At 39.5% G+C, this 24,021-nt stretch overlaps 1 protein-coding gene across 10 annotated transcripts in view; it reads left to right on the top strand.

Moving 5' to 3' along the window:
• The window catches only part of NALCN (sodium leak channel, non-selective), a 363,404-nt gene that overhangs the window by 182,022 nt on the left and 157,361 nt on the right, over nt 1–24,021 (top strand). For all 10 annotated transcript variants that reach the window (XM_011521069.3, XM_011521067.3, XM_024449336.2 and 7 more), the window contains one exon: nt 5,574–5,765. In XM_011521069.3, the coding sequence (XP_011519371.1) occupies nt 5,574–5,765 (192 nt within the window). The remainder of the gene's footprint in view (nt 1–5,573; nt 5,766–24,021) is intronic.

Raw genomic sequence — 24,021 nt, 5'->3', positions numbered from 1 at the left:
TTTTATAACTTAGAAATATGACTGTTTTATTTAAACGATAAACAGCATAAATTATATTATATACATAACTACATATATGTATGTATATATTTATTATATACATATGTAAAATACCTATAAAATGGAAAAAAATGACTAGAAAGAAACCAATTTATTACAAATTATTAATCATCTCTAGTTTCCTACTCTTGTCATCATGTCTGATTTTCCTACTAGTCTGTTTTTTTACAAAATATCTAATATTAGCCTGCAAGGCTGTAACCATTTTATAGATAGACAGATGATAGATAGATAGATAGGTAGATGATAGATAGATAGATAGTAGATAGATAGATAGTAGATAGATAGTCAAATCACAGTGAAGTTTGCAATTTCAGTTTTGTCTTTGATTTTGGATTATTCTGTAATTGGTTCTGTTTAATTTATGTTAATGATTAGGTGATTTTCATTTGTATCTCTCTATACATGGCCATGCTTCTCTTTTTCTAATGTATTAATAATGAATAAAAATGATCTCAGTTAATTTGTGGCTAGAAAGTAAATCTCTTGAGAAACTTAGGTGTCACAAGGGTTTTTGCAAATTTGCATGTGGAGAATCCACTGTACCAGACAGAGCGGCTCTTTGTATAAAGGCCTACATTGGTCTTCCCTATTGGTCCTCACACTTCTCATTTCAATCAACCTTTCTTTACTGTGTTGGCAACAAGTCTTTCCTTAGACAATTTCATATTTCTCACATTTAAATGAAGTAATGTTTAGTGCAAAGTGGCTTCCTTTAAAATATTAGTTATCTGTTAGACTAACTACTGAAGTTATTCATGTATTTATTCAAGTGATATTTCTGAGCTTCTACTATGTGTCAGCCACTGTTCCAGATACTGAAGATGGAGCAGTGGACAAAGCAGAGAGGATTCCCATTTTATGAAGCTGAAATTCTAAAGGCAAACAGTTCACAAAGAAGTACACAAAGGAATGTGAAGTACAAGTACTGGAAATGTCTTAAGGAAGAAGTGTGCAGGGTAAAAAGCATAGAGATTGTGTAGTAGGGGCTATTTTAGATTAGTTGTTCATAGAAGCCCTCTCTGAAGAGGTGAGGTTTGAGCAGAGACTGAATGAAGTGAAGGAGCAAACTGTAAGGAGGTCTGAGGGGAAGCATTCCAGGTGGAGAGAATCACACTGAGCATGTCCTGAGGTGGGTGCATGATTGATGTGTTCAAGGAATAGCACAAAGGCCAGCGTGGCTGGGCTGCAACCAATGCAGGGCAGCATGGCCTGTGGGAAATCATCAGGTCTTGCAAAACGCTGTGGTTCTTACATATCGGTATCATCCTGATGATATTGACTGGTGCGTCTTGTGAATTTCCTGTGGGTCGGGCATCTTGCTGAGTGCATTGTCTCATTTGTTTCTCATAACAAGCCCTAAGATAAGGACTGTATGTGTAAATTGAGGTCTCAAGAAATCTGTTGACTTGCCCAAGACCGCATACCTAGCAGATGATGGAGCTAAATCTTCTTCCCGGCTGGGCGCAGTGGCTCACACCTGTAATCCCAGCACTTTGGGAGGCCGAGGCGGGTGGATCACGAGGTCAGGAGATCAAGACTATCCCGGCTAACATGGTGAAACCCCGTCTCTACTAAAAATACAAAAAATTAGCCAGGCGTGGTGGTGGGCGCCTGTAGTCCCAGCTACTTGGGAGGCTGAGGCAGGAGAATGGTGTGAACCCGGGAGGTGGAGCTTGCAGTGAGCTGAGATTGCGCCACTGCTCTCCAGCCTGGGCCACAGAGGGAGACTCCGTCTCACAAAAAAAAAAAAAAAAATTCTTCCCAAGAACATGAATTTCAGAGTTCATATTCTTAACTATGCAATTTCTACAGCATCTCACTACAAATCAACAGAGTGACCTTTAAGAGAAGGACTCAGAAATGTGACCAGGAAAATGTGTTTCAGAGACAAAATGTTCTGAAGTGCTTATCTTTGAGAGTATGGTTTACTTCATGTTGTATCTGTAGGAACACAAAATCAAAAATCTTTATAGGGTAGATAGAGTGAAAAACCTGCTGATCCCTGAATAAATGAAAAGGCACAATTAGACTCACTGACAGGGATTTTTCCTTTCTAGGAATGCAGGTTTAACCCTTTGAAAATGCTGATCAAATCACCAATGTGGAAGTGGTATTAAATAGTTCCATTTTTTTCAAGCTGTTTACAGTTAGGTACTGAATTATTTATGTCCGAAAATAGACAAATCTGATAAAAATGTGAAATCTTTCCAGATTATTATTCTGGAAATTAATACGAATGTTAATACTTTAATAGTTCTTATGATAAAGCTGTTTGCTTGTTCTTTGTAAAGATTATCTGAGAGTAATATGTCCTGATTTGGGAATGTATGTTAAGAATTACAGCAGGATGGCCGGGTGCAGTGGCTCACACCTGTAATCCCAGCACTTTGGGAGGCCGAGGCAGGCGGATCACGAGGTCAGGAGATCGAGACCATCCTGGCTAACATGGTGAAACCCCGTCTCTACTAAAATTACAAAAAAATTAGCTGGGTGTGGTGGTGGGCGCCTGTAGTCCCAGCTACTCGGGAGGCTGAGGCAGGAGAATGGTGTGAACCCGGGAGGTGGAGCTTGCAGTGAGCCGAGATCGCTCCACTACACTCCAGCCTGGGCGACAGAGTGAGACTCCGTCACAAAAAAAAAAAAAGAAAAGAAAAGAATTACAGCAGGAAAAATTGGTAGCTGCACCATGTGGTATGATGCTTAATTTGAACAACATAATTTCTTACATATGTTTAAAAATTGCAAATTAGCATGAAGGAAACATGCTTTAGTCATTTTTTTTCAATTGGTTTACTTACATGCTGTAAACCATATCATTTGCATTCTGCAGACAATAGGAATAAGACTGACCACTGATACTTCCTGTTAAATCAAAGTAAATGCAGTAAACGTGGTTTCAGGTATGGCAAAATTCAGAGGCCGATATGGTGTCAGGGGCTCAGTGTATGTCTTCACCTACCTTTCTTCTGTTGGTGTGTCGGTGTCATTCTTAAGCTGGTTTTCTCTATGTGAAGGCAAAGATGGCTCCCAGGAGCTCTGTAAGAGTTTGTGTGACTCTTACAGCAGTACCCGTTGGGGATTAAAAAAAAAAAAAAAAGAAATAGAACATTTCTTATTAAAGGCATCCAGCAAAAGCCCTGAGGATGACTCAGATGACTGTGAATACTCTGGCCAGATCTGGATCATGACGGGTGGGGAGTCCTTCTTGCACCTTTGTACTAAGGCTGGGGTAGGAATGATTTGCTAAAGGAAAACCAGGCAGAGTTGAAGAAGCCAGAGGCACTGGAAAGCCAAAAAGAAACAAATGTTATTTTAGACATGTAAAAATTAAAATCTAATTTTTAAAAATGAATTTTCTGTTTCTTACTGTGTTCTAAATACACTATTCATCTTTAACAGACAACTCAATCTCTTATTGACATCAAAAAATCTTGGATGATCATTGTATAAACTATATTTCATTTATGCCAAGAATGCAATTTTCCTATGTTAATATCTCTGAATTTGGGAGCTGTTATAATCAGTGGTGTGTTATACTTTAATTGGCAGCATTTTTTTATTTCTTAGAGCTACATACAAAATTGGTGACATCTTAGACTTAATGAAAAGTTGTATTTTTCACACTATATACTTCAGCTTTTAATTATGTACTAATTTATACATACTAATCATATAAATATGTCCTTAAAAGCTGTGTCTTTGTGTTATACTCGCTTTGTAATAGTAGCCATTGAATCCTATTTGTCCAACACAAAGTTTGGCACATAGTAATCAATAAAGGTTTGTTAAACAAATGAGTGAATAAATTTGTCAATTAATTACTTATTTTTTTTTGCAAATGTGAGTATGCAAAACATCTAAATATATCTGTATATATTTAGATGTGTGTGTGTGTGTGTATACACAGTCATGCATCATTTAACAGCAGAGATACATTTTGAGAAATGCATTGTTAGGCAATTTTGTTGTCGTGTGATCATAGAGTTTACTTACACAAACCTAGATGTATAGCCCACTATATACCTAGGCTATATGGTATGGCCTATTGCTCCTAGGCTACAAACCTGTACAGTGTATGACTACATTGAATACTGTAGGCAATTGTCACACAAAGGTAAGTATTTGTATATCTAAACATAGCTAAATATAGAAAAGGTAAGTCTTATAGGACCACCATCCTATACGTGGCCCATACTTGACTCAAAAGTTATGCGATGCATGACTAAAATATATGTAAATATATACACACACACATATACATGCGTGTATATATAGAGAGAGAATAGTTGAGTACATATAACAAAGATCCAAAAATACAAAACTTACATAAGACAGAAGTTTATTTCTCTGCAGCAGTTGGTAAGTATGCAGGGAAAGCAGGTGGCTGTGCCCCCCATGGTCACCCAGCCTGTCGGGTTGGACAGGACCTGTCGTATTCTATGCAAGCCTTCTATTTCTGGTCCAAAGGGGCTACACTATTTGTTTCCATTTCCAGGCAAGAGAAAGGTATTTTAAAAAGGATTCAGAGAAAGTTTAACTTAATGCACCAAAACTTGTACAAATCATTTCCTCTCACATTCCGTAGGTCTGAACCCAGTCCACTGGAGACAGCTAGCTGCAAGGGAGACTGGAATGTGTAGGCTATAGCCCCAGGCAACCACTTGCTAGGTTAGAATTCGGAAAGTTCTGTTTTTTAAAGGAGGAAAGAGAAAATGGATACTGGGCTGATAATCTCAATAAGAAGTAAAGATTCTTGGCAAAAGTTTGCTTCTCTTTCCATTTCCTTGTGATTTTCTAATAATACCTAGGAAAATATTTTATGAGACAGTGAATATAACTAATACAGGTTGAGTATCTGTATCCCAAATGCTTGGGAACAGAAGTGTTTTGGCTTTCGATGTTTGTCAGATTTTGGAATATTTGTATGTATGTGCATAATGAGATATCCTGGGAATGGGACCCAAGTCTAAACACAAAAATTGTTTATGTTTTATAAACACCTCAAATACATTCCCTGAAGGTAGTTGTATGCAATATTCTTAATAGTTTTTTTATGCATGAAACAAAGTGTGTATACATTGAACCATCATAAAGCAAAGGTGTCAGGTGTAGAATTTTTCACTTATGGCCTCATATCAGCACTCAAAAACTTTAAATTTTTGAGCATTTTATGTTTTAAATTAGGAATGTTCAACCTGTATTGAATTAAAGGTTTCCTTGCATATTTGAACGTTAGAAAAATATTAATTTTATTTCAACAATACGTACTAGTGAATATCATTTTGTATAATCATATAATATGTTAAAACACTTAGTTCATCCATTCATTTGGGATTTATTGAGCTAGACCAATGGTTATTCTATTGTTAATTTTAGTCACTAGATATTCAAATAGAGAGGTATGATTTTCATAAAGCACTATAAAATAATATTTTAGTATGAATATATTTAAGATTCAGTGTAAATAAATGATCATATGTGTAAATAAATGTTTCTCTCTCCCTTGATAGGTTCTCCGAGTAGTTCGGCTGATTAAGATTTCACCTGCATTAGAAGACTTTGTGTACAAGATATTTGGTCCTGGAAAAAAGCTTGGGAGTTTGGTTGTATTTACTGCCAGCCTCTTGATTGTTATGTCAGCAATTAGTTTGCAGATGTTCTGCTTTGTCGAAGAACTGGACAGATTTACTACGTTTCCGAGGGTAAGAGTTTTAAAAATGCAGTAAGTTAAATTCATTGTTCTTATTTTAGTAATAATGATTAACATCAAAGTAATTTCACTTTAGTCATTCAGAAGTATTATCCTATTTTTGATAACTTGGGATAATTAGATTTTAATATTTAAAATTGTCTCTTCTGCAGGGTGCAGGTGTTTGAGACCATTTTCAGCATTGTCAGATTATATATCAATTCTAAAATTCTGGAAATAATCTAATAGAGTTAGATGCTGAAACCTGAATGCTAGGGTTCTTAGCACCTATAAATTAAAATACAGCAGAATTTTAAAATAAAGCTTGCATTTTTGTGTTCAAGAGAGTTAACATATTTTTAATGTTTTATAATTTATATATTGTTATGTTAGTCAGAATCTAGAAGGAAGCTTTTGATTTTCAATAAAATAAAATTCATAGGCTCTTCAGATTTTAAATGTCTCTCAGCTTTCTCAGTAGAATTCACTTAAGCTAAAAAGGAAGTTAGAAATCAATGGATCCATAAACAAAAGTCATGTAAGAGGTACAGCTCTTAACCAGAAGGACCTTGAAATTTAACTCTATGTGGACTTAGAAACATAAAAAAATACAATGACCAGACAAATAATGTATATATTTTTACCCTAAGTTGAAATAGTAAGGCCTATTATATGGTGTATTAGTCCATTCTTACACTGATGATAAAGACATACTCGATGAAACTGGGTAATTTATAAAGAAAAAGAGGTTTAATGGACTCACAGTTCCACGTGGCTGGAGAGGCCTCACAGTCATGGTGGAAGGTGAAAGGCACATCTTACATGGTGGCAGGCAAGAGAGAATGAGAGCCAAGCTAAAGGGGGAAACCTCTTATAAAACCATCAGATCTCGTGAGACTTATTCACTACCACAAGAGCAGCAGGGGGGAAACCGCCCCCATGATTCAATTATCTCACACCTGGTCCCTTCCACAACACATGGGAATTATGGGAGCTACAATTCAAGATGACATTTGGGTGGGGACACAGCCAAACCATATCATATGGGAAGAATAATATTGGGGTAAAAACAACATATATTTTTAAAAGTTAAGCTTTGACAGCAAAAGGGTCTGTACTTCTAATGGATAGCTTAGCTTTATTTTAGGGATTTTTTTAAAAATCCTATGCTAAATTTATTATTTTAGCTACCAGTGTTGGAATTCATCCTTTTATAATGCAGATTCTTCATTCATGTGCCGCCAAGGATTTGTCGAGTGCCTTTAAAGCATCTGGTCATTTAGGTAATCATGGGGACATAAGTCCTCAAGAAATTCTCAGTTGAGGGGAGGAACCAGTAGGTAAGCACAGGGCACCACAGGCCTTGATGAAGGCAGACACCAGGTGCTCTGGGGACACAGAGGCAAGGCCGATTCCCAGGCATGGAAAAGTCCAGAAAGGCTTATGGGAACAGGTGACTCCAATGGCTGGATGTAGCCAAAGGAAGTGCAAGGGAACGGATTCCCATCACAGGAACAGCATGTACTAAATGTCTGAGGTGAGCAAATCCTTCTTCCAGAACTTAGCAAGAACCATCAATGGTAAGAGGAGGACAAAAGGCCAAGGAACTCTGAAGTCGGTTGAAAGTGTGATCGTATCTGTCATGCCAAACTCCTATCAACTCTAGTAGGGAAGGCACCAGGTTCAAGAGGCTGAAGAAGAGACCCAGAGCCAGCAGATGAGACATGGGGTTTCATTGAGGGCTTACATACAGGGGAGGGAGTCCAATGCTGGCTGGCTGGTCAGGAGAACAAGACCTGCTTGCAAAATGCATGCAATTTACATAGCATTTTTACTTAGCACACTCCCCCAGCAACCTCCACATGGAAATCTTAATTCACCCCAGACTTGGGGCCTCAATTCCCTGTGTATAGCCAGTGTTCCACGGGAGGAGATGGGGACTCAGATGTTCCTCATCAACAAGGAGTCAATCTCTGGGTTGGCCACTCCTAGATTCCCTAGCTCAGAACACACATTCAGGTGTGTCTGGCAAGAAGGGTCATTCTCGGGGTATGCTTGAGTTATTGCTTTCAGGTGCACTTACATACGATGTTTAAGTGCTGATGAGAGAGGGCAAGTAGCTAGTGAGGTTGCAGATGGGTGAGATAAGGAGGATGATGGCAAAGGTTCCTGCAGAGGTGGGAGAAGGCAGTATCCACAGCAAGAGGACAAAGATTGGCCTTAGACAGGTGTTGAGCTGACAGGTGTCGAGGTGATCCTCAGGACAGCAAGCCAAGCTGAAAGTTACAATCAAGACTTTGTTCCCTCACTGCAACAGTACAGGCAGGAGGCAAAGGTAGGCACCGCTCTCCAGCTCTCCAGCGTCCGGAGGTGTTGGTTAAGGGTCAGGTGGATCAGCAGGCATGGGGGAGGGAGGGCTCTTTTCCTTGCTAAGCAGTCCTGAACAAAAGGTTCCAGCCATTCCTGCACCTAGGGAGGGGAAGCATAAGGAAGGAAGGGATAGGAGAAGAAAGGAACGGAGCCAGCATGGAGGAAAGTGCCTCATCTGGGCCCTGATCAGGAGGCCTCTGCACAGAGGCACCTGGTCTGGGACTGCAGCTATGGCCATGATCCCAGCTGGCCTGGCAGGGCAGAGCTGAGTCATAAATTGCAAGTCCCTCCAGAAATGGCAGTGCCCTGGTCATGCACCATGTCTAGGGTGGGGATGGCAGTGGTCCCCGGGAGGTCTCCCAGGCAAGGCCTTGCCATCAGATCACACATAGGATTTTGGCCAGGAGCAGGACTCCTGGAACGGAGGCTGGAGGGAGGCAAGCCAAAATGATAGCCACATCATTAGGCCCACCTTCTCTGGGTCTGCCCCTTCACTGGGTAAATAAAAAGATCAGCTGGCCATCTTTTCCATGGGAACATGGGGATGGTTATTGTAAGAGTTAAAGAGGTAAGAAACACAAAAAGCAGCTCAACAGTAAAAGACAGATTTATTTTGGAGAATAAACTTTAGAGGGGCTTCTGGCCAATTTTGCTCAGGAGCATTCTCTCTTACAGACTAAGGGTATTTAAGGGTGTAGGAAGTGGGGAGCTTATCGCAGGTTCGGAATGTTTCTATGTGAGGGAAAGTTTATTGTGGGGTTGGGATTGGGATGTCTGGTTGGAGGGGAGGCTGTCTCAGGGTTGGCGTGTTTCTGGTCAGAGGGGGTTTATCTTAGGGTTGGAATGTTTCTGGTGATGCTGACATTAGGCATTAGGCTGATGTTTGGGTGCTTGATTTGGGTGTTTTTTTAATCAAAGGGAACTTAAAATGGTGGTGTTTCTCCAAGACGACGATCTCCTGCTCTGTCAATCCAGTCCCTACAGTTATAGAAAGGAAGAGGGGTGGTATATTCTTTCTGGCTACTTCCTGCTGAGTGGAGGGTCAGAGGGTTCTTTGGTCTTGGGTTGATTGTGGGAGTAATGCCATCTGTAGATGTTTTTAGGTAATTGTGAGATGTCCATGATCCTGTCAGTTAAAAAATCTTTGAAAAAGGTGAATTAAGCCAGGTAAGCACATTAGTCCTAGGCATATTATTAGGAGAGGGCCCAAGAATGGGATGGTCCATGTTAGGATTTTGTTTCTAAACCAAGAATGTATTTGGTTGTTTTGGTATTCCTTTCACGTTTTAGCCCTTTCTTCAAGTTTTTCAGCAGCATCTCTTACTAGGCCTGATTGGTTGAGATAGAAGCAACATTCCTCACTCAGTGAGAGGCAGAGACCCCCTTTTTCAGCCATTGTAAGATCTAATCCCAGTCTATTTTGGAGGACTGCTCCAGGCAAGGAGTCTAATTGGTCTTCGACTCTTATAAGGCTTTGGGCTATATCTTTTAATAAATCCTGTAGTTCTGTTGAAAGAACTTTAAAGTATGTTAAGGAGTTGGCCAGTCTGCCTGCTCCCAATCCAAGCCCGGAGGTTATACATAAGGCAGCCATTAAAGGAATGACTTGGATGCTCCTCCTTTTTCTAACATACTGGATGAATGGAACAGGTGAAGATTGATTAGGAGGAACTAGTCCAACGGAGGGAGAAAGATAAACTAGGGTACAGGTTCTGGTCTAGTTGGTGGGGAGAAAAAGATATGTGTTGGTACCGCATAAAAAGAACAAGCCTTTGTCATAATGCAGGCGGAGATAGGGAAAGAAGATAAGCAAATTAAAGATGGGGTGTTTTTTCTTTCCTGCGGTTTTTTACTCCAGGTGGACAAGGAGGAGGCCAGGGAGACACCCACTATAGTAGAGATATAGGAAGAGTTATTTTTTACACATTTAATGCAATCGGATGTTGCACCATTGATATTGAGCCATGGAAAAAGTTGGGCACCAGGGGCAGCGCAAGTTAGGCAGGAGGCATTGGTTGACGGAGAGGCTGTAAACTAGCTGGTTGCAGAAATGCTCCATTTGTTTCAGGTGATACTTGGTAGTCAACGTGGCTACTTTGATGGTCAGAGGGGTGTTTAACAATGATAGTGTGATTGCATTGGTTAGATGTTAAGGACCCTACAGGGAAATTTCCCTCCGAGGCTGAAAAGCAAAGTGAGGCTTGTTGTAAAAGGGGGGTGTGTGTAGTTATGGGCCCTTCAATGGGAGGGTCTTGGTGCTTAAGGCATTGTAGAGAGTTGTAATAGGTTTGAAATATTTTGTTGGCCCGATTGGCCCTGGAAGTGAAATAATCTCTGAACAGGGTGTCGGCTCTCTCAAAAAAGGAAGCTCCTTTTGGGAGTTTATAAGTTAGGGTTATATTTCCTGTTCAAAGGTCATGAAGGGGTGTAGGAAGGGCTGTGTAAGCTGAGGAAGACAGCGATAAGCATATCCAGCACTCTGGAGCAAAGGAAGAGTTAGCTTTGCAGCAAGAGGGATTGTGTAAGGTTTATAGAGCATTCTAGTTTGAGAGCAGTGAGGAGTGGTTTTATTGGTGAGGTTGATATGATTAGGGAATTTATATTGAAAGAAACAATCAAAAAGAGAAAAAAGTTATTTGGGTAGTAGTAAAGTCCTGGAAAGTTCCTTGAAGCCATAGGTACCATAGAACAGTCAGAAACTGATTAGCATGTATAATGGGAGCTTTGTAAGGGTACCACTGAAGGTCTGTAGCAAGGTTGGTTAGGAAGCAGTGAAAGTTTGGGAGAGAAAGAGACATAAGCAGCTTATGTGGATTTCTCTTCCTTTTCCTCCAGGATTTAGGTGAGGCGAAGGGAAGTAGGTCCTGTGGAGACACAAGAGAAGGCTGAAGGGGTTTTAGATTTGGTTGTTTGTGTATGTGGTGAAGGGAAGTCTGTTTTCTTGAGAGAGGTATAATGAAACCAGTTGGGGAGTCCCTGGAGTTTTGCTGCCATGGGTGTAGTAAGGATGATCTGGTAAGGTCCTTTCCATTTAGGTGTAAGGAGGGAATTGGGGCTAGGACTGGGATCTTTTATCAGAACCCAGTCTCCTGGCTGTAGGAAGGGATTAGAGGAGTTGGTGACAAGTTGTGGCAGGTGTTTGTCAGCATATTCCCAAATGAAATGGCAGATGGTATGTACAAGAGGGGAAATGAGAGGGGTTGGCAGAGGTGGGGCTTGACCCTGAGGTGGACCAAAAGGGGCAAGTGGTCTCCCATATGTGAGTTCAAAGGGGCTGAGCATTAAAGGTTTATGTGAGAGCACCTGAATTTTTAGAAGGGCTAAAGGCAAAAGTGTAACCGAGTCTTTATGTGTCTGGAGTGAGTACCTGGTGAGGGTGTTTTTTAGAATGCCATTCATTTTTTCAACCTTTTCTGAAGATTGAGGTCGATAGGGGATGTGTAGCTTCCAGGTAATTTGTAGGGCTTGTGAAAGTGTTTGAGTAATCTGAGAAATGAATTCAGGGCCATTATCAGATTGAAAAGAAAGAGGCACCCCAAACCTGGGGATGATTTCTGTTATTAATTTGGAGGTGACATTAGAGGCTCGTTTGTTGGTTGTGGGAAAAGCCTCAAGCCATTCCAAAAAGGTATCAACCAGAACTAAAAGAAATCAAACCCTTTTTACTGGGGGTATATGGGTAAAATCAATTTGCCAATCCTGTCCTGGAAGGTGTCCCCTGGCTTGATGGATTGGGAAAGAAGAGTGTCTAGTGTTGGAATGGGGTGAAGCTTTCTGGCAAATAGAGCATTGATGGGAAATGGCTTTTAACTGTTCCTTTATATCTGGGGTTATGTGTTTATGGGAATTTAAGAAGTGTTGTAGAGGTGAATGGCTAGCATGGAAGAGGTTGTGAATGTCCCGTAAAAGAGTTGTTTTTTTCAGGGTCAGGTAGGACTAATTTGTTTTGTATGAATCAGTTTGGGGGGTTTGAATTGTGCCCCTGCCATGATTAGTTGTTGTGTTTGGTGTTCTGGATAAAAGAAGGGGATATGTTGTATGAAGGGAAATAAGTATTGGGGAATTGGGTGATTGGTTGAGACATGTTTTGCCCAGTAGTCAGCCTCATGGTTCCCTAAAGAAATGTGGCTTTTGTCTGATGTTCTTTGCCATGAATAACTGCAACCTTTTCTGGAAGTAGAAGTGCCTTTAATAGAGGATGAATGAGCTTTCCATTAATGATAGGGGTTCCTATAACTGTGAGATAGCCCCGCTCCCTCCAAATTTAGGCATTGGAATGGATGATGTTATAAGCATATTTAGAATTGGTGTATTATTAACTTGTGTGTTTTTTGGTAGGGTTAGTGCTCTTATTAGGGCAACTAATTCTGCTTGTTGGGCGGATGTGCCCAAAGGCAAGGGGGCAGCCTCTATCACTCTTCTAGATGGGAGAGAGTGGGTATCATAACGCTATCCCTCAATGATGGCATATCCTGCTTGGAGAGGAGGGTTTTTTGATGCACTGCCATCTATAAACCAGTCTGGGGCTCCCTTTATGTGAGTGGAAGTAAGATGGTGAAACATGGTAGGAGAACTTTCAATTAGATCAGAGCATGAGTATTGGTCAGGATCTAAAATCGGTATTGAGGGTAAAAGAGAGGCGGGATTAGGTGGGGAGCATCTATGAAGAGAGATAGCGGGTTGAAGGAGGGTTAAATGTAAGGCTTGCATATGAGAGGATGAGATGGGGGTGAGCGCCTATGGCTGACCATATCTTGTAGACTGTGAGAAGAAAATACCTGAAGGGGTTTGTAGAACATGAGTTTTTGTGTCTCAGAGATAATTAGAGAGGCTGTGGCCAAAATTTTTAAGAAAAGGGACCAGATTTTATAAATGGGGTCTAGTTGTTTTGAAAAATATGCCACTGTTGAGAAGGAGTCTCCCATAAGTTGGGCTAATAGTCCAAGGGCCTGATTATGAGAACTGTGTAAATATAGATGAAAAGGTCTTAGGAGGTTTGGAATGTCTAAAGCATGGGCCTGCAATAAGGCACGTTTTAGATGAGAAAAAGCATGATAAAGGTCTGGGGTGGGAGTGAGTGGTTGGTCAAGATTTCCTTTTGTGTGTTCATAAAGGGGTTTAGCAATAATGGCAAAATTTGCTACCCATAATCGGAAATATCCCACTAATCCAAGGAAGGAAAGTAAGTCCCTTTTCGTTTTAGGAAATGGGATTTGTTGAACACCTTGCTTTCATGCCAACAGCATTTCTCGGGTATTTGGAGTTATGATCAGTCCTAGGTATGAAACTTTCGGTGAGGTTAATTGGGCCTTCCTTTTGGACACCAGGTACCCACATTCAGCCAAAACATTTAAAATCTTGGTGGTGTGTTGAATACAATGGTCAAGAAAGGGGCTGCAAAGGAGTAAACTGTCCACATATTGCAGCAAAATCCTGGGTTGTAGAGGTAGTTGGGAGAGGTCTAATTGAAGTGACTGAAATAGTGATGGCTGTCTCTAAACCCCCAGGGGAGGACAGTCCAGATGAGTTGTTGGGAGTAGCCTGTGTCAGGGTTGGTCCAAGTGAAAGCATAAAGGTTTTGAGAGGAGGGATGTAGAGGGATAGTAAAAAAGGTGTCTTTGGCCAGGTGCAGGGCTCATGCCTGTAATCCCAGCACTTTGAGAGGCTGAGGTGGGCGGATCATGAGGTCAGGAGATGGAGACCATCCTGGCCAACATGGTGGAACCCTGTCTCTACTAAAAACACAAAAATTAGCTGGGTGTGGTGGCGTGTGCCTGTAATCCCAGCTACTCAGGAGGCTGAGGCAGGAGAATCATTTGAACCAGGGAGTCAGAGGTTGCAGTAGATTTTGCTACTAAATGTACTATAAGAAAAAAAAAAAATTCAAAAGGACCTTCAAGTATTTTCAGAAATTTTTAAATTTTGGAGTTGTGAATAAGGACTGTGGGCCTCTATTTTTAAAAAATGCATTTAAGAGTCTGTACTTCTGTCCCTACAAGTCCGATTGTGCATCAATGCCCCATTGCTTTTTAGCTATGTGATACTGGGCAAATCATTCTTTACATTTTTATTCTTCACAACCAAGATGTAAGCCGAAATGTGTTTTTTTTTCTTCTGCATTTTGTGTATTAAATAATATACAAAGATGACACAACTGGGCTTAGAAAGTATTTCTTAAAAGACTAGATTACAGCCTATGTAATATATTTGAAATTGATAATATTATCTGTATAAATGGCAAGGCTGCTTTTTAGATCCATTCCTGACTTAGCCCCTCTATACTTGCTCTATTTTCCAGCTATAATAGTAATCAAGTAGTATTACATTTTCAGATCTCCAATTACTCAATTGCACCATTTTGCCTGATTATTTTGACCATCATAATGAAAGCAGCTCGGCCTCTCCCAGGCCCCCTAATCAGTTATTCAGCAGCTGACAATGGTGACAGCCTGAACGTGTGAAGTGACTAGAAGGAGTATATTTTTCCTTTCACATAAATGTTACTAAAGGTGAAATCCATGAAGAGTAATAAAATTTTACAAGGAAATGTTAAAAAATATTACAATTACAAAAGGGGTCATTATCATCCCTAATCAAATAAAGCATCACCAATTGGTCTTACTTGCCAGATAGAAAATCATTCAGGAGAGATGATTAAAAACATATTTTACTCAAGGCTAGATTTGTCGTCAGACGCACATCCCTGGGTTTCTTTTCCCTCCCTTCTCTAGACATTATCCAGTGGTTGAGTGCTTAAGGTAGGTTGGTTAATTACAGTATTAGCCAAGGCACAGGACATGACCAGAACAAATTTTCTGCAAGAAAAATCACATGATGTATCGCAAAGTGAAATACAGACTTTAAAAATCAGCAATTGTCTATGTTATCTTGACTTGGGTCCAGGCCGTCTTGGAGGCTGCCTCCCAGCAATGTTTATAGGGCTGCAGAATGGTGTGGGAAAATAAAGTGTGGAAGCACATGGGAGGCTTGGGGAGGGCACTCACCCTGAATCTGCTTCAGCACTATTTACCAGGTGTGTAGTCTTAGGTGACACTTAATTTGTCTGAGCTTCATTCATTTTTAAAATGGTAATGATGTCTATCAAACAGGCATGATAACTAAGAGCCCTACTTACACATAGTAAGACTTTGAAGCTTGGAGAGCTTGCATAACCCACACAAAGTTACACAGCTGGACAGCTGGATTTGAAGTTGTCTACTGCTCCTACCAACTATTATCCATTAGGTCACTTCTAGCCAAGCAAACACACTAGAAAGTGTTCAGTTAGGAAATACTTATTGAGTGCCAAGAATATAAATATTTTGTCAATCTGTACCTGGAAGGAAAGGCCTCTGGAATAGTTCATCACAAACTTCCCAGAGGACTTCAGGAAATCAAGAAAGGTATAGAGGTATTAACATTTTGGGGCACAGCCTGTGAGTGTTAGGAATGATCATGTCAGGATCCCAAACCAGCACCTGATAGTCTCTGTGCCACAGCAGAAACAGCATTTGTCTAAGAAGATCCCACACATGAGACAGGTGAAAGGATGTTCCAAGTGACAGCTTGTGAAGAGGTGTTTGAATGGAGAATGAGCAACAATGCTGAACCAACACAAACATCTGTCATCCTTACATACTGGGTGAGGCTCAGCATGCCGGATTCCTTTTCCCAGTATTGTTCATTCCTCCAGGATCCTCATTACCCTCCATCATTCCCCTTACCCTATCCAATCAGAAGCGTCTGCATAATTCCGTTGCAAACACTTTGGCTGCAAGTAACAGAAAACTTGATTCCAGTTGACTTTAAGAATAAGGAAATTTATTCCATAAAATTCAAGAGATCAGGTAGCTTTCAGGAAGTCAGGACTGGATCTTTCACTGAAATTCTCTTAATTGTTGTTTGAATTGTCAGTGTTCCCCCAAAAATGTATGTTGATATCCCAACTCCCAGAACCTCAAAATATAACTTTATTTGAAATACAGGTAATCAAGTTAAAATGAAGTAATCAGGGTGGACCCTAATCCAGTATGCCTGATGCTTTTATGAAAAGGGAAAGAACAGACACAAATATGCATAAGAGGAAGATGATATAGACCCACAGTATATTAGCCTGCTCTCACATTGCTATAAAGAAATATCTGAGACTGGGTAATTACAAAGAAGAGAGGTTTAATTGCTCCCGGTTCTGCAGGTTGTATAGGAAGCATGGCAGCATCTGCTTGGCTCCTGGGGAAACCACAAGAAACTTACAATCACAGCAGAAGGCAAAGGGGAAGCAGGCAAGTCTTATATGGCTGGAGCAGGAGGAAAAGAAAGAGAGAGGAGGTGCTACACACTTTTAAGCAACCTGATTTCATGATGACTCACTCAGTGTCATGAGAACAGCACTGAGAAGATGGTGCTCAACCATTCCTGAGAAACCACCCCTATAATCTAATCACTCCCATCAGGCCCCACCTCCAATATTGGGGATTACAATTGAACATGAGATTTGGGTGGGGACACAGATCTAAACTGTATGACACGGGGATATGGCCATGGGACTGGAATGGCATCTACAAGCCAAGGAATGTCAAAGAATGCTGGCAAACACCAGAAGCCGTAAGATACAAGGGAAGATTTTTTTCCCTAGAGCTGTCAGAGCACAGCCCTGCTAACACCTTAATTTTAGACTTCTGGCCTCCATACCTGTGAGACAATACATTTCTGTTGTTTTAAGCCACCAGGTTTGTGGAGCTTTTTTACCACAGCCCTAGCAAACTCATACAGTGACCTTCTCCATGGGTTGTCTTCCTATGTTAGCAAAATGGATGTGACATTTCCAGGCTTCCTGATGACATCTAGAGGAATATGTGGGTCCTCTGTTCCCAGGCCTCCTCCTTAGGACCAGGAAACCTTTTCTATCATCCCTTTCCTTCCAGCAAACTTGCTGTCATCTCTCATTGGCAGGATTGAGTAACAGGGTCATTCCTAGAATTAAAATTACTGGCTTTGGTTAATCACATGGGAAGGAGTAGATGTTGTGAAGACAACTACTTGGGTCAGACCCAAAACCTGGACAAGATTTCTCTCAGCTCTGTCTCCAAAGCTGCTCCTATATTCCCCATGCAAACAAGGTTTGTAAATAGACGTGGTAGAAAGAAAGCTGGTGTTTAATTCCTTTCACCAGAAACATCTGGACCCCAGATCCTTCCCAAGATGCCCAAATAGGTAGGTACCTGCAAAGTAGCTAGCATAGGGCTGGACACAGAGTAGATCAGTTATGGATTCCTGCTCTCCCTGTTTTTATGGTACTGGTCAGTTTCTATCACATACCATTGACATTACACATGGGTCTTACTGCCTTTGCTAGTCTACAGGTACCTTGAGGTTGAGAGCATGTGCATTCCTTACACCTCCAAGAGCACTTAACACTGTGCAGTGGGATCTGTAAGCATCAGTAAGTAGAGTCAGAAAGGAAGACAGCTAGGACTCTATCAGTATATAAGCCCAAGAGATGGAGAAGGGATGCTCGAATTCTACTCGATGGAAAAACAAAGAATGCTATATTGATAGAATTTAATAAAACAACTTTGTCATCTCAAGCCAATAACTTTCTGTTCTAGTTTGGACCAAACAGCTACACTGCTAAATAGAAATAACAAGATGAAATCCTGATGTAAGGCAATATGCAACAGTTCCTGTTTTGTTGGGATGAATATATTGTATGAGTACAATTTAGATGAACTATTCATTCTGGAACAGCCTGTACAGGTCCTAAGACAGATTGCCATAAGCAAGAACAACCACAGTCTTTCTGTAACAAAAACAAATTGCATGTTTTTCCATAATTGCCTAACAAAAGCTCATAAGCAGCTTCAGTAAGATTTTACTCAGTTTTTCCTCCATTTATTATAGAAAGCAACTGCCTCTAAATTACTGAAATAAATGCAGTAAACATTCACTGTCCATCTTTAACCAGCTCTGTACCTTTATTCCTTCTGATTTCCCACTAAAATAATAAACAGACCTCATATGTTTAGCGGTTGTATAAATGGGGATAGTTTTTATTTCTAAGTAATATATTATCCTCTATAACACAAAGTACTTAAATTTTAGTATGATTTATTTGATATAGGTTTTCTTAATTTTCATTCTCTAAATGTTAATTACTTGCTCTATTGAGTTTTCACTTATAAAATATGTCCAAAACAGTTATTGCACGATAGAAGCAACAAATGCTATAAAACACATAATTAAAAATTAACTTTCCTTTCCTCTTGCCACCAAAATGACTAGTCGTGCAGTTAGTTGTATTAAAGGAATTACCAAAAAATTTGAAGAAACAATTTGCTCCTTAATTTTTTAAATTATTTGTCAGATGTAGTGAGAGTGTGTGACATTTTTAATAGATTCAAGGTTTATTTTAATATTTAAAACTATTAGTTCAATTAATATTGCTGAAATCTTTAATTTTTGTTCTGTCTTTCATGTATTTTTAATTTTATCATGAAATATTTGATGTGCAAAAAGATATGAATAATAATAAAACATACTCCTCTGTGGCCATACTTAACAAACACTAAATTGCAATAGACCTGAAGTCCCTGGGTGCCTCTTCCTGATCTCTGTCCTCTCACTCTCCCATGGAGAATCACTTTTCTGATTTTGATGTGTGTTTTGTTAATAAATTTCTTTATACTTTTAATGCATATATGGACATCAACTGAAAATCATATATCTTTTGTGTAATTTAAACTTGCCTTATATGGTCTCATTCTGTACTATTTCTCCTGCTAATTGCTTTTATTGCTCAATATTATGTTTATGAGAGTTACCTAAATGAGTACATGGAGCTGTATTTTATTTATTGTCATTACTGTATAAAAAGCAACTACATATTATATTGCATATATAATACATTCTTTATACAGACAGAACACAATTTATTTTTTCATTTTCCTGTGCAGTAGGCAGATTCTAAGCTGTCCCCCATGATATCTCCGCACGAGTGTCCATACCCTGCATCATCCCCTACCCTTCGATACTGGTAGGATTTGTGAATATGATGGGCTGTCATTCCTGTGAATAGGTTGCTAAGCATTTAATGTTGAGTCAGTCATAAATAGAGATTGTCATGTGTGGGCCTGTCCTAATCAGAGGTACTGGCCTTTTCTTAGATTTAAAGCAAGAAAGGGTCTTCTGTTGGCTTGCATTAGGAGATATACCTAATGTAAATGATGAGTTAACGGGTGCAGCACACCAACGTGGCACATGTATACATATGTAACAAACCTGCACGTTGTGCACATGTACCCTAGAACTTAAAGTATAATAAATTAATAAATAAATTAATAAATAGGAAAAAAAAAGTAAGCCTCCATGTTGTGAAGTGCTGTGTGGCCAAGACCCTGGGCAACAGCCATCAAGAAAGCAGGACTCTCAGTCCTGCAACCCTAAGGAACAACCCTCTGATAATAACCCAAATGAAGTTAGAAGAAGACCGCAAGCTCCAGATGAGACCAAAGCCCAGCCAGCATCTTGATTTCCACCTTTTGAGACTCTGAGCTGAGAGCACAGTTATATTACACCATGCCCACATTCTGACCTTCAAAAACTGTGAAGTAACAAATGAGTGTTAAGCTGCTTCGTTTGTGGTAATTTGTTACACATCAATAGAAAAGTAATGCATCCAGGTGTTGGATGTTTCTAAATATTGTAAATCCAAACAGTACTGCTCTGAACATTTTTGTACATTGATTTGTGCACATGTGAAATAATTCTTTTTAGGGTATGTATCTGGGAATAGAGTTGCTGGGTCTTAGAATAAACATATCCTCATTTCTCATTGGTATTGATAAACTTTCATTCCAAAGTAGTTTTACCAATTTATCCTAAGCTATCAGCAGTATATGAGAGTATTCTCTACTTTACCACTCAGGAACACTTGGTCTGGTCAGGCTTTATTTTGCTTGAAACACTTAGCTCTTCATTTAGCCTGAATTGATTTTTGTGGCTGCTGTGAGAGAGGGAACAATTTTATTTCCATTTGGATAAACAATTGCCACAGTACCATTTATTGACCAATCTATTCATGCCCCCTAGTTCTGCATCATATGCCAGCTGTGTCATAACGTGGTTCCATATGTGAGTGCCCAAGTCAAGAGGCACAGGCTCCCTTGTCATCCCCTTTTGCCATTGAATTTTTTTTACTGGATCTGGATCAACCTCCTCTCTGAGGTTTAAAACCAATAACTATATAGCTTTGCTCAAGTATCTCAGCAGTCTCCTCCTTTCAAAGGTTCATGACTTTGTACCTTATCTCTGACACAACATTAAAAACCAAAGTCTAGCAGAGATCGGAAATTCTCTAGAGAAACTGACTTTTCTTGATTCAAGCTACTTCTTAGCTTTTGGTCCCTGGAGTTTTTAATTATTTTCTTGGACTATTCACCTTTAAAAGGATGCTTTTTGCATTTTATCCAGAATTTCCTGGGGTTTTTGAATCATTTTTTTCCATACAGGATGAGAAACTGAGGTTCACTAATAAATTTTTGAGAAGAAGAAACAGTACTCCATGGACTCTCAGATGGATAGACTTTTTTAAAAATTATACTTTAAGTTCTAGGGTACATGTGCATAACGTGCAGGTTTGTTACATATGTATACATGTGCCATGTTGGTGTGCTGCACCCATTAACTCATCATTTACATTAGGTATATCTCCTAATGCTATCCCTCCCACCTCCCCCCACCCCATGACAGGCCCTGGAGTGTGATATTCCCCACCCTGTGTCCAAATGTTCTCATTGTTCAATTCCCACCTATCAGTGAGAACATGCAGTGTTTGGTTTTCTGTCCTTGCGATAGTTTGCTCAGAATGATGGTTTCCACCTTCATCCATGTCCCTACAAAGGACATGAACTCATCCATTTTTATGGCTGCATAGTATTCCATGGTGTATACATGTGCCACATTTTCTTAATCCAGTCTATCATTGTTGGACACTTGGGTTGGTTCCAAGTCTTTGCTATTGTGAATAGTGCCACAATAAACATACGTGTGCATGTGTCTTTATAGCAGCATGATTTATAATCCTTTGGGTATATACCCAGTAATGGGAGGGCTGGGTCAAATGGTATTTCTAGTTCTAGATCCTTGAGGAATCGCCACACTGTCTTCCACAATGATTGAACTAGTTTACAGTCCCACCAACAGTGTAAAAGTGTTCCTATTTCTCTATATGCCTCCAGCACCTGTTGTTTCCTGACTTTTTAATGATCGCCATTCTAACTGGTGTGAGATGGCATCTCATTGTGGTTTTGATTTGCATTTCTCTGATGGCCAGTGATGATGAGCATTTTTTCATGTGTCTTTTGGCTGCATAAATGTCTTCTTTTGAGAAGTGTCTGTTCATATCCTTCGCCCACTTTTTGAAGGAGTTGTTTGATTTTTTCTTGTAAATTTAAGTTCTTTGTAGATTCTGGATATTAGCCCTTTGTCAGATGGGTAGATTGTAAAAATTTTCTCTCATTCTGTAGGTTGCCTGTTCACTCTGATGGTAGTTTCTTTTGCTGTGCAGAGGCTCTTTAGCTTAATTAGATCCCATTTGTCTATTTTGGCTCCTGTTGCCATTGCGTTGGGTGTTTTACTCATGAAGTCCTTGCCCATGCCTATATCCTGAATGGTATTGCCTAGATTTTCTTCTAGGGTTTTTATGGTTTTAGGTCTAACATTTAAGTTTTTAATCCATCTTGAATTAATTTTTGTATAAGGTGTAAGGAAGGGATCCAGTTTCAGCTTTCTACATATGGCTAGCCAGTTTTCCCAGCACCATTTATTAAATAGGGAATCCTTTCCCCATTTCTTGTTTTTGTCAGGTTTGTCAAAGATCAGATGGTTGTAGATGTGTGGTATTATTTCTGAGGGCTCTGTTCTATTCCATTGGTCTATATCTCTGTTTTGGTACCAGTACCATGCTGTTTTGGTTACTGTAGCCTTATAGTATAGTTTGAAGTCAGGTAGCGTGATGCCTCCAGCTTTGTTCTTTTGGCTTAGGATTGTCTTGGCAATGCGGGCTCTTTTTTGGTTCCATATGAACTTTAAAGTAGTTTTTTCCAATTCTGTGAAGAAAGTCATTGGTAGCTTGATGGCGATGGCATTGAATCTATAAATTACCTTGGGCAGTATGGCCATTTTCATGGTATTGATCCTTCCTATCAGATGGATAAGACTTCAGATGGATAGACTTTTTAAAATGAGCATGATCTAGGGCAGGCCATCCCAGTGTTTGCCTTTACTGTCCGCAGCCTCACAGTCTTTTGCCTTTGTTTGCATTGAGGATATTGTGTCCTCTTTGAATGTCATAGCCTCAGCTTTACCCTCCCTCAGTCTGCCACACCACTGAAAATCATCTTTCACAAAATATCTGATATACCCATTTATGATGAAGATAAATAAATCATGTTCTTGGTTTTTCATTCATAATTCTATCAACATTCTTTATGCAACACAGCTAGGAAGCATACCGACATGAACAAATGTACTCACTGCCCTCTTTAACTATAGCATTGTCAAGAACCCAAGGAAGGACTGAAACAACTCATCCCATAGTAGAACACATAAGAAAGATCTCAAGTAAGCCAAAGGTGACATATGCTACAATAGATGTACTCAGTTCTAAAGTAATAGCAAAGACATTTGGGAGAGTATTTTAAAATTCTGGGAATTTACTGTGTGCCTAGCACTTCCAAATATCAGCTCATTTAATGAGAGAAAAATATTGCTTCCAGAGAAGGAGGTGTGCAGAGCTTTATAAAGATTTGTCTTTAGGGGTGAATATAATTTCAACAGGTAGAGATTTGGGTCATGGCATTAGATGAAGGCATTCCATATAAGAAAAACCAAATGAGTAAATTAGAGACATGGAGAATCACAGGCATGGAGGGACATATGACCAAAGGATGGCAGTAGCAATGGGAAACCAGACATGGAGGGTCTTCAGTGGTTGGAACTGTGACACAAGGGAGCTTTTGAAGATTTTTACTTTATTTTTTTTAATTTTTTTTTTCTTGGAGAATAGCAGAAGAGCTATTTTGAGGAAAGTTACACTGGAAGAAATGTTATTTCTATGAGGAGGTATTTTCATTGAACAAAATTCATTTTTATTGATGAAAGACAAGAATTTATGATCAGTTGATAAATTTCAGGCATCTTTGGAGATATTTTATATTTTTTTCTGTGAGGCTGTTACTGTGTCAAATCTTTCACAGTTTCATAAAATTGAGTCTCATCTGAAGCTTTAGGCCAGATTGTTATCCATGGTTGAGCATGACTCTGCAATAGAAACTAACAATTTGGCTTATTTTAAAGTGATACCATGAGATATATATATATATATATAGTTTATTGTCATTGTCTCCCCCCCCAAAAAAAACTGTAAAATTAATTTTCATTATTTCCTTTCTACTATAACATTAGGGTTTTTTTTTCCTTGCTCCTGTTGGAATTTATTTTTGTGGTGACTCATCTGTGGCATAATGATGAAATGATAAAATAATATCCTGTGTACTTCCTTTTAGAGGATGAATCACATAAAATTGGCCATCTTTTCCTGCTGTTGTATATTAATATCATTGGTCCACTGAACTGCAATGATCAGAATTATGACTTTCCTTGAATAAAGCATCCTGTTTCCTACCCCTAACCCTAGAAGAGTACTCTTTCAGGGAGAACCTATTTTTGCAGCTCATCTTATTTTGGTAGTTTTTCACCAATCATCTTATTTGCAATTTCCCAACTATTTAATTGCCATCTTACATTAATATTATTTTAATAATCAGACTGTTCCATTGTTCAAATTTTAAAAATAAATGAAAGTCATTAATGAAAAGTATTGTCTCATTCCATTATAATGA

Source organism: Homo sapiens, chromosome 13 (genome assembly GCF_000001405.40).
Source record: "Homo sapiens chromosome 13, GRCh38.p14 Primary Assembly".
Classification (NCBI taxonomy): Eukaryota; Metazoa; Chordata; class Mammalia; order Primates; family Hominidae; genus Homo; species Homo sapiens.
This window is presented reverse-complemented; position numbering and strand designations above follow the sequence as displayed.